This window comes from Homo sapiens, chromosome 12 (assembly GCF_000001405.40).
Source record: "Homo sapiens chromosome 12, GRCh38.p14 Primary Assembly".
Taxonomy (NCBI): Eukaryota; Metazoa; Chordata; class Mammalia; order Primates; family Hominidae; genus Homo; species Homo sapiens.
Genome location: NC_000012.12, coordinates 85,076,546 through 85,096,615, shown reverse-complemented (window position 1 = coordinate 85,096,615; position 20,070 = coordinate 85,076,546). Strand labels below are relative to the sequence as shown.

At 36.7% G+C, this 20,070-nt stretch overlaps 1 protein-coding gene across 22 annotated transcripts in view; it reads right to left on the bottom strand.

Annotated features, from left to right (window-relative positions):
• The window catches only part of LRRIQ1 (leucine rich repeats and IQ motif containing 1), a 236,455-nt gene that overhangs the window by 176,190 nt on the left and 40,195 nt on the right, over nucleotides 1-20,070 (bottom strand). For 2 of the 22 annotated variants that reach the window (XR_944765.3, XR_944766.3), the window contains one exon: nucleotides 19,894-20,058. The exons of the other annotated variants lie outside the window; for them this stretch is intronic. The gene's annotated coding sequence lies outside the window, so the exon portion shown is untranslated. The remainder of the gene's footprint in view (nucleotides 1-19,893; nucleotides 20,059-20,070) is intronic. 22 annotated transcript variants of the gene reach the window in all.

Here is a 20,070-nt window from a genome sequence, read left to right as displayed (position 1 = left end):
CATCTACACACAGAACATATGCTAAGGTCAAATTCATACTCAGCCCAAAGCATGTCTGAATGAATTAAAACACACAGAAATCATACCAATCATACTTTCAGACCAGAGTAGCATAAAAATACAAATCAACATCAAGATGGTCTCTCAAAACCCACACAACTACAGGGAAATCAACTGGCTTCTGAATGCCTTTTGGTTAAACAACAAAATTAAGGCAGAAATTTACAAATTATTTGAAACAAATGAAAAAGGATATACAATATACCAAAATCTCTGGGAAACAGCTACAACAGTGTTAAGAGGAAAGTTTATAGCACTAAATGCCTACATCAAGAAGTTAGAAAAATCTCAAATTAACAATTTAACATCATGCCTACTGGAACTAGAATACCAAGAACAAACTAACCCCAAAACTAGTGGAACAAAAGAAATAACTAAAATCACCACAGAACCAAACATAATTTAGACCTAAAAATCCACACAAAGAATAAACAAAATTGAAAGCTCTTTCTTTGAAAGGATAAACAAGATAAATAGACTACTAGCTAGATTAACAAGAAAAAATGAGAGAAGATCCAAATAAGTGTCTTGAGAAACAACAAAGCTGGTACTACAACCAATCCCACAGAAATACAAAATATCCTCAGAGAGTAGTATAAATAATTCTATTCACATCTATTCACACAAACAAGAAAATATACAGGAAGTAGATAAATTCTTGGAAACACACAACCTTGCAAGAGTAAGTCAGGAAGAAACAGAAACCCTGAACAGACCAATATGGAGTTCTGAAATTGAATTAGTAATTTTAAAAAAAAGAAAAACTAAACTAACTAACCAAAAAGAGCCCTGGACCAGATGGATTCAAAGCTGAATTATACAGTACCAGGAAGAGCTGGCACCAGATCTACTTAAGCTATTCCACAAAAAAATGTGAGGAGTAGGGACTCCCCCATACCTCATGCATGATGCAAAGCTTTATGAAGCCAGCATCACTCTAATACCAAAATCTGGCAGTGACAGAACAACAACAGAAAAAGGAAACTACAAGTCAATATCCCTGATGAACCTAGATGCAAAAATCCTCAACAAAATACTAGCAAACCAAATCTAGCAGCACATAAAAAAAGGTAACTCACCACAATCAAGTACACTTTATTACTGGGATGCCAGACTGTTTTAATACATGCAAATCAATAAATGTAATTCACCACATAAGCAGAATTAAAAACAAAAATCATATGATCCTCTCAATAGACACAGAAAAAGCTTTTGATAAAATCCAACATCCGTTAATGATAAAAACTCTCAACAAACTAGGCACTTAAAGAACATAACTCAAAATAATTAGAGCCCTATATGGCAAAGACACAACCAAGATTATAATGAATGGGCAAAAGCTGGAAGCATTCTCCTTGAGAACTGGAACAAGACAAGGATGTCCACTATCACCACTCCTATTCAACACAGTACTGGAAGTTCTAGTCAGAGCAATCAGGCAAGAGAAAGAAATAAAAGGCACACACACACAAAAAGAAGTAAAATACCTCACTTTCTGATGATGTGATTCTACATCTAGAAAATCCTAAAGACTCTGCCCAGAGGCTCCTCGATTTGATAAATGACTTCAGTAAAGTTTCAGGATACAAAATCAATGTAGAAAAATCAGTAGCATTTCTATACACCAGTAATATTGAAGCTGAGAGCCCTATCAAGAATACAAATCCATTTACAATAGACATACACACACAAACACACACGTACACACCTAGCAATATATCTAACCAGAATGTGAAAGATCTCTACAAAGAGAACTACAAAGCACCACTGAAAGAAATCAGAGATAATACAATGGAAAAACATTCCATGCTCATGGATTAAAGGAAGCAACATCATTAACATGGCCATACTGCCCAAAGGAGTTTACAGATATAACACTATTTCTACCAAACTACCAACATCATTTTTTATAGAATTAGAAAAAAAACTATTCTAAAATTAATATGGAACATAAAAAAGACCATATAGACAAGAAAATCCTAAGCAAAAAGAAGAAAGTCAGAGGTATCACACTACCAGACTTCAAACTATGCTATAAGACTATAGTAACCAAAATAGCATGGTATTGGTACAAAAACAAATAGACCAATGGGACAGGATATAGCAGTGGTCTCCAACCTCTCTGGCACCAGTGACCGGTTTCATGGTGATGGTTTCTGGATTATTCAAGCAAATTGCCTTTATTGTGAAATTTATTTTTATTATTATTACATTTTAGTATATAATAAAATAATTATACAACTCACCACAAAGTAGAATCAGTGGGAGCCCTGAGCTTGCTTTCCTGCAAATAGATGGCCCCATTTGTTGGTGATGGAAGACAGTGACATGCAAAGTGTGTTGCTTATGTCCAGTCTACAAAGTAATCTCATTTTGGTTGCTATCTCTCCAGAAAGCCCTGTTTCACAAAGATTAAATGCTGCAAATTGAAGCAGGCTTTCCAGCGCTTTTCTGGCAAACTCAGGATATCTAGCTTTGACTTTAATTCAGAATGTATGGAGATTTGAAGTTGTCTCAAATGTACTTTTAAGGCCACCATCATTTGCAGTCTCAAGCAGTTGATCCTCTTCTAGCCTGGCCAAAGTCAATTCACCTGGCTTATTCACAAATGGTCACAGATCCATTCCTTCTCAGTTCAGGGGTCTTTTGTGGTTGGGAAATAATGCTCAAACTCTTTTGAAAGCTGAGATAGGCAATGATGCAGCAGCTCGGAGAAAGGAGGCCTTGGCTCAGTCTCTTTCAAAAATCTCTGCTACTGTCTGAATCATATAAAAAATCTCTGTGTTCACTTGTTGCATCCAAAATTCCAGTTTGGCTTTGAATGCAGTCACTTTATCTGCCGACTTGAACACAATTATTGTTCTCTTCTGAAGTGACAGGTTGAGTTTGTTGAGGTGTCATATGTCATAGAAGTAAGCAAATGTGAGGACACTTTTTGTGTTACTGAAATGTGCTGCCAGTGGTGGGTGTTTTCTAAAATAAATCTTTGGAGTGGCTCTTATAGCTCAAAAACTCTGGCCAGTGATCTACCTTTAGAAAGCCATCTCACTTCTCTGTATAAGAGAAGACATGCATGCTCTGCATCCATCTTCTCACGTACGTGTGCAAACAGATGTGAGTTAAGGGCATGCACTTTAATGTGGTTGACAATTTTAGTCATATCCTGCAAAACATTAATTTCAAGTGACATTTTTGAGCTAGCCAGCATTTCTTTAAGGATGCCACCATGCATAACTTCCATTCAGAAGCAACCTCTTTGACCTGAGTAGTGAAACCAGAAAGCTGTCCAGTCATGGTAGCTGCTCCATTTGTGCATATACTGACACAAAATGATCAATTCCATTCTCCTGAGATGTAATTATTCAAATACTTGAATAGTTCTGCAGCTGTTGTGTTGGTTGACAACAAAAGTGTACATAACATATCCTCATGCACACCCTCCTGAAAAATATATCGCATAAAGACAAGTATTGTTACCTTGTTGTCAACATTAGTAGACTCATCAACCTGGATTGTGTACCATGGTGACTCATTAATCCTCTCCAACAATTACTTCTCAGTATCCTCTGCTATTTCATCTAATTGTCTGGTTATGGTGCTAGCCAAAAGAGGAACATGTGTCATCTTTTAAACTGCAGCCTCTCTTAAAACTTCATGACAAATGTCATTAGCAGCAGGCAGGATTAACTCTTCATCAATAGCAAAGGACTTCTTTGCTTTAGCGATGTGGTTAGTCTCTAAGAATGATGCCGTCGGCGCAGGCACGTTTGATAAAGTGGTGGCCTTCAATAACTGCTTCTGTTCTACATGTTTTTCCTTTTGACAAACACCAAAGGTTAGTGCAGGGTGCTTGGTCTCCATGTGACAAAGAAGTTTTGAAGGTTTCATGGGTTCATTGTATAGCCAGATGCCAAATATTATACAAAATGGACTTGGAGAATGTGAATCATTTGTTGCAATGAACTCGTGATTTAAGTGGAAATCTTGATATTTTCTTTTAGATGCAACTTTCCTTTTGTTGGCAGTCTTACAGAGTCTTCTGATGTCTCATCATTTGAAGAGTCTTTCACGGTTTTCAAATAAACTCTCCGGTGATGTTTGGCTTTTACTCATTTTGGCTGAGGTTATCTTGTGGGCTTACAAAAACTGTGACTGAGGCAAGTGCACAGTGCAGGAAAGAGGTGTGGATGGAAATGATAAATAAAATAATGAGTGGGCCACACACAGACTAAAATAAGTGTTGGATTCTGACTAAAAATCTGCCATAAGTTGCAGCTGTATAATTGAAGTACATCAACTCTCTTGACACCATAAAGCCTGCCACCAAATGCAGTTTGATTGTTACTTGCCACTCACTGATGGGGTTTTTATATGATTCTGTAAGCAACTGATTTGTTATGATCTCTGTGCAGTCAAAACTCTCTGCAAATGTTAATCTGTATTTGCAGCTACTCCCCAGATTATCGTAAGGAGTGTGCAACCTAGATCCCTTGCATGCTCAGTTCACAATAGGATTCACGCTCCTATGAGAATCTAATGCTGCTGATGAACTGACAGGTGGTGGAGCTCAGGCAGTAATGCAAACAGCAGTGAGCCATTGTAAATACAGACAAAGATTCACTCACTTGCCTACCACTCATCTTCTGCTGTGAGGCCTGGATTCTAACAGGCCATGGACCGCTACTGGTCCATAACCTGGAAGATGGGAACCCCTGGGATACAGAACTCAGAAATAAAGCCATACACGTACAATTATCTAATATTTAACAAATTTTTTAAGAAGCAAGCAATGTGGAAAGGGCTCCCTATTCAATAAATGGTGCTGGGATAACTGGCTATCCACATCCAGAATAAAACCGGACCTTTACTTTTCACCATATACAAAAACTAACTCAAGATGGATTAGATCTAAATGTAGCATCTAAAACTATAAAAATCCAGGAGAAAACCTAGGGACCACCATGCTGGATATCAGCCTTGTCAAAAAATTTATGACTAAGTCCCCAAAAGCAATTGCAACAACAACAACAACAAAAATTGACAAGTGGGACCTAATTAAACTAAAGAGCTTCTGTAAAGCAAAAGAAACTATCAACAGAGTAAACAGACAACCTATAGAATAGGAGAAAATATTCCCAAACTATACATCTGACAAAGGTCTAAAATACAGAATCTATAAGGAATTTTTAAACAATTCAACAAACAAAAAACAACCACATTAAAACACGCGCAAAGGACATAAACAGACACTTCTCAAAGGAAGACTGTATTAGGCCATTCTTGCATTGCTATAAATAAATAACCGAGACTGGACAATTTATAAATAAAAGAGGTTTAACTGGCTCCTGGTTCTACAGGCTTTACAGAAAGTATGGTGCTGGCATCTTCTCAGCTTCTAGAGAGACCTTAGGAAGCTTACAATCATCGTAAAAGGCAATTAGGGAGCAGACATGTCACAAGGTAAAAAAAAGAAGCAAGTGAGAGAGAGGGGGCAGATGCCACACACTTTTAAACCACCAGATCTCATGAGAACTCACTATTGAAAAGACAGCATCAAGCTATCAGGGATCCACCCCATAAGTCAAACACCTCCCACCATACCTCACCTTCAGCATTGGGGATTAAAATTCAACATGAGACTCGGGCAGGAACAAATAACCAAGTTGTATTTAGATATTTATCCACCCCTGCCCCCTCCCAAATATCATGTCCTTCTCACATTGTAAAATATAATCATGCCTTCCCAACAGTCCCCTAAAGTCTTAACTCATTTCAGAATTAACTCAAAAGTCCAAAGTCTCATCTGAGATAAGGCAAGTCCCTTCCACCTATGTGTCTGTAAAATCAGAAACAAGTTATTTACTTCTAAGATACAATGAAAGTATCAGAACTGGGTAAACACTACAATTCCAAAAGGGAGAAATCAGCCAAATGAAAGGGGCTACAATCCCCATGCAAATTCAAAACCCAGCAAGGAAGTCATTAAATCTTAAAGCTCCAAAATAATCTCCTTTGACTCCAGGGTACAATGCTGTAAGGGTTGGACTTCCAAGGTCTGGGAAAACTCCACTGCTGTAGCTTTACCGGGTTTATCCCCAGAGGTTGCTCTCATGGGCTGGAGTTGAGTGTCTGTAGCTTTTTTGGATGCAAGGTGCAAGCTGCCAGTGGATCTACAATTCTTGAGTCTGGAGGACCGTGGTACCCTTCTCTTAGCTCTACTAGGTAGTGCCTCAGTAGAGACTGTGTCGGGCCTCCAATCACACATTTCCCCTCTGCCCTACTTTGGTAGAGGTTCTCTATGAGGGCTCTGCCTTGCCTGGACCCCCAGGGTTTTCCATACATCCTCTGATACCTAGGCAGAGGCTGCCAGGAATCCACCACTCTTGCACTCTGTGCACCTGTAGGCTTAATACCACGTGGAAGATGCCAAGGCTTATGATGTGCATTAGGCAAAGTGGAAGTCCAAGCTGTGCCTGGGCTCCTTTGAGCCACAGCTGGAGCTAGAGCAGCCGGGATGTGGGGAGCAGTATCCTGTGGCCACACAGGGCAGTGGGGCCCTTGGCCTCGCTGAGGAAACCATTCAGTCCTCCTAGGCTGCCTCTTAGATCGCTGTAATGCCTTCGTAGCTTTTTCCTTATTGTCTTGGCTATCAGCACTTGCCTCCTTTTTAGTCATGCAAATATCTCTAGCAAGTAATTTCTCTACAGCCTGCTTTAATTACTCCCCCCAAAAAAGCTTTTTTCTTTCTCTACCATATGCCAGACTGAAAATTCTCCAAACGTTTATGCTTTGTTTCCCTTTTAAATACAAGTTCCAACTATAAGTCATTATTTTGCTACCACATCTGAACACAGGTTGTTAGAAGCAGCCAGGCGAAGTCTGGAACCCTTTGCTGCTTAGAAGTTTCTTTAATCAGATAATCATAAATCACCACTTTCAAGTCCAAATGCCCAACAATCACTAGGGTATGAATACAATGCAGCCTCACTCTTTGCTAAGGCATAACACACATAATCTTGCCAATTCCCCATAAGTTTCTCATTTGTATCTGAGACCTCTGCATCCTGGATGTCACTGTCCATATCACTATCAGCATTTTGGCAACAACCATTTATCCAGGCTCCAATAAGTTCCAAACTTTCTCTCATCTTCCTATCTTCTTCTAAGCCCTCCAAACTCTTTGAATGTCTCCCTGTTATGCAGTTCCAAAGCTGTTTCAAAATTTTTAGGTATCTTTATAGCAATGCCCCTCTTCTTGATACCAATTTTCTGCATGAGACCATTCTTACACTGCTATAAAGAAATAACTGAGAAACTTCTCCATCATATAAACAGAACCAAAGACAAAAACCACATGATTATCTCAATAGATGCAGAAAAGGCCTTTGACAAAATTCAACAGCACTTCATGCTAAAAACTCTCAATAAATTAGGTATTGATGGGACGTATCTCAAAATAATAAGAGCTATTTATGACAAACCCAGAGCCAATATCACACTGAATGGGCAAAAACTGGAAGTATTCCCTTTGAAAACTGGCACAAGACAAGGATGTCCTCTCTCACCACTCCTATTCAACACAGTGTTGGAAGTTTTGGCCAGGGCAATCAGGCAGAAGAAAGAAATAAATGGTATTCAATTAGGAAAAGAGGAAGTCAAATTGTCTCTGTTTGCAGATGACATGATTGTATATTTAGAAAACCCCACTGTCTCAGCCCAAAATCTCCTTAAGCTGATAAGCAACTTCAGCAAAGTCTCAGGATACAAAATCAATGTGCAAAAATCACAAGCATTCCTCTACACCAATAACAGACAGAGAGCCAAATCATAAGTAACTCCATTCACAACTGCTTCAAAGAGAATAAAATACCTAGGAATCCAACTTACAAGGGATGTGAAGGACCTCTTCAAGGCGAACTACAAACCACTACTCAACGAAATAAAAGAGGACACAAACAAATGGAAAAACATTCCATCATCATGGATAGGAAGAATCAACATCATGAAAATGGCCATACTGCCCAAGGTAATTTATAGATTCAATGCTATCCCCATCAAGCTACCAATGACTTTCTTCACAGAATTGGAAAAAACTACTTTAAAGTTCATATGGAACCAAAAAAGAGCCCACATTGCCAACACAATCCTAAGCCAAAAGAACAAAGCTGGAGGCATCATGCTACCTGACTTCAAACTACATCACAAGCCTACAGTAACCACAACAGCATGGTACTGGTACCAAAACAGAGATATAGACCAATGGAACAGAACAGAGCCCTCAGAAATAATACCACACATCTACAACCATCTGATCTTTGACAAACCTTACAAAAACAAGAAATAGGGAAAGGATTCCCTATTTAATAAATGGTGCTGGGAAAACTGACTAGCCATATGTAGAAAGCTGAAACTGGATCCCTTCCTCACACCTTATACAAAAATTAATTCAAGATGGATTAAAGACTTACATGTTAGACCTAAAACCATAAAAGCCCTAGAAGAAAACCTAGGCAATACCATTCAGGATATAGGCATGGCCAAGGACTTCATATCTAAAACACCGAAAGCAATGGCAACAAAAGCCAAAATTGACAAATGGGATCTAATTAAACTAAAGAGCTTCTGCATCGCAAAAGAAACTACCATCAGAGTGAACAGGAAACCTACAGAATGGGAGAACATTTTTGCAATCTACCCATCTGACAAAGGGCTAATATCCAGAATCTACAAAGAGCTTAAACAAATTTACAAGAAAAAAATCAAACAACTCCATCAAAAAGTGGACAAAGGATATGAACAGACACTTCTCAAAAGAAGACATTTATGCAGCCAACAGACACATGAAAAAATGCTCATCATCACTGATCATCAGAGAAATGCACATCAAAATCACAATGAGATACTATCTCACACCAGTTAGAATGGCAATCATTAAAAAGTCAGGAAACAACAGGTGCTGGAGAGGATGTGGAGAAACAGGAACACTTTTACACTGTTGGTGGGACTGTAAACTAGTTCAACCATTGTGGAAGACAGTGTAGTGATTCCTCAAGGATTTAGAACTAGAAATACCATTTGACCCAGGTATCCCATTACTGGGTATATACCCAAAGGATTATAAATCATGCTGCTATAAAGACACATGCACACATATGTTTATTGCGGCACTATTCACAATAGCAAAGACTTGGAACCAACCCAAATGTCTATCAATGATAGACTGGATTAAGAAAATGTGGCACATATACACCATGGAATACTATGCAGTAATAAAAAAATGATGAGTTCATGTCCTTTGTAGGGACATGGATGAAGCTGGAAACCATCATTCTGAGCAAACTATTGCAAGGACAGAAAACCAAACACCACATGTTCTCACTCATAGGTGGGAATTGAACAATGAGAACACTTGGACACAGGATGGGGGACATCACACACCAGGGCCTGTCGTGGGGTGGGGGGATGGGGAGGGATAGCATTAGGAGATATACCTAATGTAAATGACGAGTTAATGGGTGCAGTACACCAACATGGCACATGTATACATATGTAACAAACCTGCACGTTGTGCACATGTACCCTAGAACTTAAAGTATAATAATAATAATAATAATAATAATGAAGAACAATCTGAGATTCAATCGTTGAATGCAAAGTGGAGGAGAAAGTAGTGAGTAAGGCAGTCTGGGCTTCTACTCCCCCTGTAAGCCAGGAGGAGGAGAGATTTCCATTGTTGAGTACAAAGAACCAGGCTTTAGTTTCAGACAGACTTGTTTCTATAACACTCTGTCACTTTCTAGTTGTTGAGTTCTGGTGAAGTGGCACCACCTCCCTGAATCTCAGTTTCATCAACTGTATCTACACAAATTTGATATTTATTTTGTTATTTATAATCACAACCTCCTTCGGAGGAGGGTGCATCTCTCCAGAAAAAAAAAAAAGAAAAGAAATACCTAAGACTGGGTAATTTATAAAGAAAAGATATTTAATTGTTTCATATTCTCCAGGCTTTACAGGAAGCATAGTGCTGACATCTGCTTGGCTCCTAGCAAGGCCTCAGGAAGTTTACAATCATGGCAGAAGGCAAAAGGGGAGCAGGCATGTCACATGGCAAAAGCAGGAGCAAGTGACAAGAGTGGGGGTGAGGTGCTACACACTTTTAAACCACCAGACCTCACGACAACTCAGTATCCAGAAGACAACACCATGCCATGAGGGAGCCTCCCCCATGACACAACACCTCCCATCAGGCCCCACCTCCAGCACTGAGGATTACAATTTAATATGAGATTTGGGTAGGAACAAATATCTAAGCTATATCAAAGACATACATGCAGTCAACAAATATGTGAAAAAAATGCTCTGCGTCACTTATCATTAGAGAATTGTAAGTTAAAATCACAATGATATACCATCTCACACTAGTCAGAATGGCCATTAGTAAGAAAGTCAAAAAATAACAGATGTTGGAGAGGTTGCAGAGAAAAGGGAACATTTATACACCATTGGTGAAAACGTGAATTAGTTCAGTGACTGTTCAAACAGTTTAGAGAATTCTCAAAGAAATTAGAACTACCATTTGACCCAACAATACCATTACTAAATATATAGTTAAAGGAAAGTAAATCATTCCACCAAAAAGATATCTGCACTTGTATGTTCATTGTAGCATTATTCACAACAGCAAAGACATGGAATCAACCTAGATGACTAGAAACAGGGAACTGGATAAAGAAAATGTAGTACATACACACCATGGAATACTACACAGCCATAAAGAAGAATGAAACCATGTCCTCTGCAGTAATATGGATGCAGCTGATGACCATTATCCTAAGCAAATTAACAAAGAAACAGAAAACCAAATACTACATCTTCTCAACTATAAGTGGGAGCTAAGCATTGGGTATGTATGGACATAAAGATGGGAACAATAAATAGTAGAAACTACCAGAGGGGAGAGAGTGAAGCAGGGAGTGGTTGAAAAAGTACCTATTGGATACTATGCTCACTATCTGGGTAAAGGGATTATGCATACAACAAACCTCAGCAACATGCCATTTACCCGTGTAACAAACCTGCACATATTCCCCCTGATATGGTTAGGCTTTCTGTCCCCACCAAAATCTCATCTTGAATTGTAATCCCCAAGTGCTGAGGGAGAGACCCAAGTGGCAGATCCCCCTATGCTGTTCTTGTGATAGTGAGTGAGTTTTCATGAGATCTGGTGGTTTTGTAAGTATTTGGCAAGTTCTTCCTTTGCTTACTTTAACCATGATTGTAAGTTTCCTGAAGAACTGTTGCAGAACTGTTCCAGCTGTGCGGAACTGCGAATCAATTAAACCTCTTCCCTTTATAAATTACCCAGTCTCGGGTATTTATCACACTGTGAAAACAGACTAATACAATCCCTGAAACTAAATAAATTGGGGGGCGGGGGAAACACGCAAAAAAACAAATACTATGTCTCATCTTAGTAAATTATCTGTAGGAAAATTGTCTGAGAATAAATGTTACAACCATAATTGACAAGTGGATGCTTTTTGGCATTATAAAATGATTTTTAGTACCATAATATATTTCCAGAATGACTTACTTTATAAATCATTGTACTTCTTTTTTTTTTTTTTGAGATGGAGTCTTACTCTGTTGCCCAGGCTGGAGTGCAGTGGCGCGATCTCAGCTCACTGCAACCTCTGCCTTCTGGGTTCAAGTGATCCTTCCACCTCAGCCTACCAAGTAACTGGGACTACAGGCATGCGCCACCATGCCTGGCTAATTTTTGTATTTTTAGTAGAGACAGGGTTTCACCATGTTGGCCAGGCTGGTCTTGAACTCCTGACGTCAGGTGATCTGCCTCCCTCAGCCTCCCAAAGTGCTGGGATTACAGGCATGAGCCACCATGCCCAGCCTCACTGTACTTTTAAAACATTAAAATTGATATTCTGTTTCAGTAGTGTAAAATTCAGACTTCATTTCAAAAGCAGTACTAAAACTTTAAACATTTCTTTAATATTAAAATATAAAATCTATGCGGAAAACATATCAGTTTACATATACCCTAGCAATAATAAGTATTATTATCAATTAAAAGTTACTTAATTATCCACTTGAACTTTTTCTAATTAAACTGTACCCTAACTACATTTACTTATATAGAAAAAGTAGGCATCATTGGCTGAATTATTACAATGTTCATTTCAAAAAAATTATTATTTTAATCAACTTTTTTCATATGCTATGTCTCCTTCATATATGAGCACATTTTGTTTAGTGTTTACATTTGTTGGTACTCAAAGATTATTGAATTTCTATTCAGGTGTTTGCTATTTTTATTGCAATTTTATTTTAATAGTTGTATGTGATTTTTGTTTCTAATTTCTTGAAATAATAGGCATAGAATGTTATATGTAAGCAGATATAAACCAATTATATTCTCTACATTTTTACAAATATGAAAATCTATTTTTCCAAAAATAGCTTTACTCTGATATAAAACTCATAAGAGACTGGTTTTACTAGTTTCAGCACTGTGTCATGTCATCTGGGAGACAGAAAATAATACAAGACAGAATCTCTGCTTTCAAGTATCTCTTATATGATAAATACAAGTAGAAAAATAATTACTGACATATAAAAATACAATTTATTGTTAAGAGAATTACAGCAGTGATTTTCCAAATGCACAGAAAACAATCTGGAAGGCTCATACATACTGGCTGTATCTGGATGACACAATTATAGATTACTGCTTTATCATTTTACAGTATAATTTTTAGACAATAGGCAGGTATTAATTATGTAGACAAAAATTACCAGGCCGGGTGCGGTGGCTGATGCCTGTAATCTCAGCACTTTGGGAGGCCAAGGCAGGCAGATCACGAGGTCAAGAGATTGAGACCATCCTGGCCAACATGGTGAAACCCCGTCCCTACTGAAAATACAAAAATTAGCTGGGCGTGGTGACACATGCCTGTAATCCCAGCTACTCGGGAGGCTGAGGCAGGAGAATCACTTGAACCTGGGAGGTGGAGGTTGCAGTGAGCTGAGATCAGGCCACTGCACTCCAGCCTGGCGACAGAGTGAGACTCCGTCTTAAAAAAAAAAAAAAAAGTTACTTAGAAAAAAATTAATAATCCATTTTCAGAAATTTCTGTTCAGATAGCCTGATCATCCTCACCTCTGCAAATAACTAAAAAGTCATCTTTTTTAGAATATTTCCAAAAGAGCTGCTATGAAAGTAATGAATTCTCATTCAAAAATCTAAATAAATATGGCAAGCAAAGAGAGATAAGCAAAACAATAAAGCTACTTTTTAAAGTGAGAAAACTTGTTAAACTGATGAATATGACAATCCATTTCTGCAGCCTCAGAACTTAAGGAAACAAAATTCAAAATGCACCTAAGGTGGACAGGTATAACCTACAATCCCACACAAACCTGGAACATCAATCAGCTATACATTGCTGAAAGTTAAATCTCTTATCCCGAATCTCAATATTCAGTAGAGTGGGATAAAAATCTCATTTAAAAAATAATAAACACAAGCTGACACTCCCATAGGTTTGTAGCTCAGATTTGCTCAGATAGTGATCAGAAAACCGCCACTAGAAACGTACCATAAATGACTGTAGATTGTTTGTGTCCCCAGCCACCTGAAAAATTATTTCTAGAGGCCAAACTTTCATTCCAAATCTAAGAATAATCACAAACTTATGTTCCAGGGCAAATAAAAAGATGACAATAAACAAGAAAACCAAACCCAAACAATAAAAGGCATGAAATACACAATGCAATATGGTATCATAAGAGTTAGCAGAAATAATAAAACACACAGAAACAGAACTACATGGAAATTAGAATTAGCTGAAGTTTTAAAACTCAATGAGCTCGATTAAGAGCAATTTCAAGTTTGTCAACTGGGACATAGATGTATACATATAAATTACCTATGGGCATCAAAGAGAGATAGAGATATAGAATACAGGCAACATGAAGCCTAGAGTCAAGGATATAAAAATAAATATATCACACATACATAATGTTTCAGAAGGAGAAAACAAATGAAAAGGAAAAAATATTTGAAGAAATAATGGCAGACAAATAGATACAATAAAAAAGCAATCCACATATTCATGAACTGCAATAAGCCCCGACAGGATGAATCAAAAACAAATCCCTGCCTAGACACATCAATGTAAAGGTGCATAACCGCAAAGACAAAGAAAAGATATTTGAAGAAGACAGAAAATATCCTCAAAAGTCCAAAAATAACCGATAGCATTCTTAACTGCATTGGTGAAAGTAAAAGTTAATAATAATAACAATAATAATAATAGATTGATACTTCAAATTACTGAAATAAACTTCGACCTAGAAAAATACAAATTATAATTTAAATAAGTGTTAAGGAAAGATATTTACAGACAAAATCCAGTAGAGTTTCCCACCTACCAATTTTCTTACTAGAGAAAAATGTAAAGGATCTACATCAAAAGGAAGAAAAGTGAGTCAAAGTTTTAATAAAAGAAGAGGCCCTGCACAGTGGCTCATGCCTGTAATCTGAGCACTTTGGGACGCCGAGGCGAGCAGATGACTTGAGGTCAGGAGTTTGAGACCAGCCTGGCCAACATGGTGAAACCCCTTCTCTACTAAAAATACAAAAAAATTAGCCAGGCTTGGTGGTGTACACCTATAGTCCTAGCTACTCAGGAGGCTGAGGCACAATAGCCTGAAACTGGGAGGCACAGGTTGCAATGAGCTGAGACCCCACCACTGCACTCCAGCCAAGGCAACAGAGTGAGACTGTCTCAAAAAAAAAAAAAAAAAAAAGAAGAAGAAGAAATAAAGGGCATAAAAATGACAAATGTCAGCAAATATAATTAAACTTTATAAAAATAATCATTATGTTTTCCTTGCGGAGTTAAATAAAAATACATTTAAAATCCTGCAACACACACACCTTTAAGTCAGGAAACAGGAGGTAAAGATATTAATTTGAGATAAATTAAGTGTGTACTTTTAATTTCTGCAGTAACCATTAAATTAATAAAGTATATAGCTACTAAAGGAATTCATGAATAAAACAAGAAATGACAAAAAAAAAAGCCAATCCAAAAGAAGACAACAGAGGAGAGGAAGGAGAAATAGAATATGTTGCACAAGCTTTCTGATTATAGTAATAATGGACTAGGTAATGAAGGACAGTTCATCTGTTGAGAAGTAGAAAAACTGAAAATTATATAAACATATCTGCTCAAGACATTAAAGGATTAAAATGGTACTACCGAATCATACGGTTAAGATTCAAAAGTGAGAAGATCACATCTTTCAGGATATCTAGTAATCCTCAGAAAGAAAGCTTACAAACCTAGGAGGTCACAATTTGGCTTCTAGGGCCCTCTTCATCAGAGTAGACCTAAGAAACCCCTACCTTACTTTTGGTTGGGATCAGCATGCACTATCCCTTAAGAGTAAGAATCATTCAAATACAGAAAGGGTTCTGAGGGCCTGAAGCTAAACTTCAAATAATCTCAATACCAATGTATAGATTCAACTACACAGAGATTGCCCTAAGTAAAAACTAAGGACCTCTAGAGGAAAATAATAATATACTAGCCTCTAATTGGTTCCACAATTTTATTTTTTCATAGTATTCTCTGTCTGCCAAATAATAAAAAATAAGCAAGAAAATAACACTAAGTGACCAAAAATAAAGAAAAACAACAAGTAATAGAAACTACCCACTGGAAATCCAGATAATGAAGTTACCAGACACAGAATATAAAAAAACTTTGCTGAACACGTTAAATAAAAGTTAAAATTAAATACCTGAATACTAGATACTATAAAAATGCAAATTGAATGTCAAGTAAAAAAAAAAACAAGTAAAAATTCTAAAACCAAAAACTACAACAACTGCAAACAACACTTTCATGGATAGATTGAACATTATATTAGATGTGCTTGAAGGACTAGGAAACTGTAAATTGAGTTAAAAGAAAATATCCAGAGAAATACATGGAGACAAATGAAATATACAATAATTTTGAGTATAATTATAAAAAATATACATATATAAGAAAAGTATAGGACATACATCTCATATAAAAGACATTAAATATATTATGCCCTCTATATTACATTAAATATATATTGTTACATATAATAATTATATCTGTTAACATATATTAAATCATAAAAACATGTGTATTTGGAATTTTTCAACATTGAATACAGACACTGAGCCACAGATTTAGGAGGCACAATGAATTCAGACAGAGTGAATATTAAGGTAACCAAAATGGACAAAGAAAAAAATCTCAAAAATGGAAAAAGAAAATTATATTTCAAGGATCAACTTAAGCCAGGAAAGCTAGAATACAATAAAATATATTTACAATGCAAAAATTGCAATACAAATGGTAAGTCTATACCTCAAATAGACACACACACGTACGTATATGTATTTGTGGGTACGTGTGTGCGCGTGTGTATTAAAAACATACTTAAGCATATAATATCTGAAGAATTCATCACCAGCAGACCTACAATAAAGGAAATACTAATAGATATTCTTTGGGCAGAAGGAACATTGTAGATGAAAGACAAAATAAAGAGCAATGGAAAGTTTATACTATATTATTACATAATAATACTACCATTGGTATAGTCATCTTTTCTATAGTAACCTAAAAGAATAGAAAAATAATATGTAGCTGGTAAATATAAGAGGAAAAAATGAAATAATTTAAAACCTCAGTCAAACCAAATAAGGGCAAAAAGAAAAAAGCAGGCAGAATGAACAGAATAAAAAATAGTAAGATGGTTTAATCTCAAATACATCAATGATTATATGAAATTAATGATATAACTAATTAATTGCTAAGGACTAATGGCTACAAATCAAAGCTAGAGTTTGTAAGCCAGTCCAGATAAAGCAATAACAAAATCAACAAATTTTCGTGTTACAAAAAAGAGACAAACTGGAAACAAAATTTGTAGACATATTTTAAGTAAAAAGATAGAGGCTGGGCATGGTGGCAGCTCTTACACCTGTAATCCCAGCACTTTGGGAGGTGGAGGCAGGCGGACCCCAAGGTCAGGAGTTCGAGACCAGTCTGGCCAACATGGTGAAACCCCGTCTCTACTAAAAATACAAAAAATTAGCCGGGCATGGTGGTGAGCGCCTGTAATATCCCATCTACCCAAGAGGCTGAGGCAACAGAATTGCTTGAACCCGGGAGGCGGAGCTTGCAGTAAGCCGAGACAGAGTGAGACTCCATCTCAAAAAAAAAAAAAAAAAAAAAAAGATAAAGATACATCATGTGAACACTAAACTAGTGGTTCTCAAAGTGTGGTCCAGAGACCTCCCAGAGATGCTTTTAAAGATTCTGTAAAGTCAGTACTGCTTTCATAATAATTCCAAAATGCTATTTGGTTTTTCACTCTCATTTGGTCAAGAGAGTATAGTGGAGTTTTCCAGAGGCTACATGACTTGTGATATTATAGCAAATTGACTGCAGAGGCAAATATGAGAACCCAGATGTCTTGTGTTAAGTCAGACATTAAAGAGATTTACAAAAATGTGTAACAACACCCTTCTTCCCAGTATAACTCTTTGTTTAGAAAACAGAATTAACATTTATAAAATTTTTGTGAATCCAAAAGTTTTATTATTTGAAATTCTAAATGAATTAATAAAACGTAAAAAAATTTTTTTTCGACTACTTGGCAATATTGCTAGACATAACCCATACAAATAAGTTATTTGAGAGAGGTCCTCAATAATTTCTGAGAATGTAAAACAGTCCTGCATCTAAAATAAAGCTCGTTTAATTATATAAGACACAGAAGACTAAAGCAGAAAGCTTTACTACCTATGAAAAGAGACGTTTTAAAATGATGAAACTGGTCAATTTAACAGAAACATGTAACAGTTATAAATTTGCAGGCACCAAATAGCATGCCCTCAAAAACATTTAAAGTAAAAAAATATATAAGAATAAAAAGATTGAACTACAATAATCATGAAGTCATTGCTAATATTATCAGTACCACACTTAATCAACAGGCAGGTGGCATAACAAAAATATATAGGTTCTGAAGTAGGCTGTCCTGAGTTGTAAAAAACAAGCCTACTCCCAAACTAGCTATTTGAAGGTAGACAAGTGACTTAACTTCTCTGAGCTTTAGCTTTTTTATTTATAGAGTGAGGGTAACTTCACCTCATTATGAGGATTAAAAATAATATTATACAGGATTTTCACAAGATAGCTACTAAAAATGATAGCTATTATTATTTCCCAATAATTATTCTTAATAAAACAAGGAGTTTAAAACTATAAATTTGTGGTGACCAAATAAGGCTTCAGAGAGGGCTGAATTTTGAGTCAAACATTAAAGGAGAAACAATATTAATATACATTCCAAAAACTCTATTCACAACTGATTAAACAGTAATCGATTCCATAAATGCACTTGGATGGAAGGGGTGGGCGGGTTCTAGATGTAAATGAAGTTAGAGTAAGTTGCTACCCTTTGTCTTTAATCAATTTTTTTTTTTTTTGAGACAGGGTCTCGTTCTGGTGCCCAGGTTGGAGTGCATTGGTGTGATCTCGGCTTACTACAGCCTTGATCCCCCAAGCTCAAGTGATTCTCCCATCTCAGCCTCCCAAGTAGCTGGAGCTACAAGCATGCACCAGCCCACCTGGCTTATTTTTTGTTTATTTTATTTTTTTATTTTTAGTAGAAATGAGGTCTCACTATGTTGCCCAGGCTGGTCTCCAACTCGTGAGCTCAAGCCATCTGCCCAGCTTGGCCTCCCAAAGTGCTGTGAATACAGGTGTAAGCCACCATGTGCTGTGATTACAGGTGTAAGCCACCATGCCTGTCCTAATTTTACAAATTCTTTAATGTCAAATAAAGGCTGACAACTGAGTAAAATAAACTTATAGCAAGTCCTATCTTAGGATACCATTAATTCCTTAACACCTCTAAGAAAATTATTCTTTCCCAGATAAAATATCCAATATTTCTTCCCCTGCCCTATTCAAAATAAAACAAACAATAGCCACAAAAATATTAAAGAGCCTTTTCAAAGGACTTAAATATAATACAAATAAAGACTTGCTTAAATATTGTTTAGCTTACTGGTTAAATATATTCTTTTAACAGCTCTTTTAAAGTTTCCTAGATCTCACAAAATAAAACTTAAGTCAAGTGTGTTTACTCTTCAAAGGGCTCATGCCCATGGCAAAATTAACTTTTGGCCATACTTTCTACAAATATCTATTTCAAATAATTCTTCCCACAGAAATGAGCCAATGGTCTAATAAAACATTCCTGCCACAGGGGAGAAAATTCTGTAAGGAACAGCAAAATTAAAAATGTTAAATTAGGCTGGAGGTTTTTCACTGAAGATCAACCTCCTTCAGCTGTTCACTGATTGCCATGTCTGATGGTTTTTCATTCACACATACAAATATACAAAGTTGCACTTGAGACTTTTTAATTTTAGTGCAAAAGTACTTCAGGATTATACATGTTGTATAGAAAGAGTAATACTGAAACAGGAATCAGGAAACTTGGATCCCAGCCCTACCTCTGCCATGAGTTAGATGAAAACTATGTGGGTGTTTTTTCATCTGTAAACTAAGCAGCCTAGACTGGCGAGATACCTAAGATCCCTTTCAGCTTTACACTAAGCATTGTGTTGCCCTTCAAAACTAACAAGTAAGCTAGCACCATCTAGTGGACTCCAAAAAAAAAAAAAATCACTGAATAGGTAATAGTGAAAAAGATTCTTATAAGCAAAATGTCTAGAGTTCTTACTTTATTTTTCCTCCCAATGATTCAAAGACAATATTTGAAAGCAAGAATTATTCCAAGCACTATGAGCCACGACACAGCAATCAAGCCTATGTGAAAATGTTAAATTATTTCCATATCTTTCATATTTACAATACTAGTGGGCAATTTTCCAGAAAGCAGTATTATCTAGAAAATAAA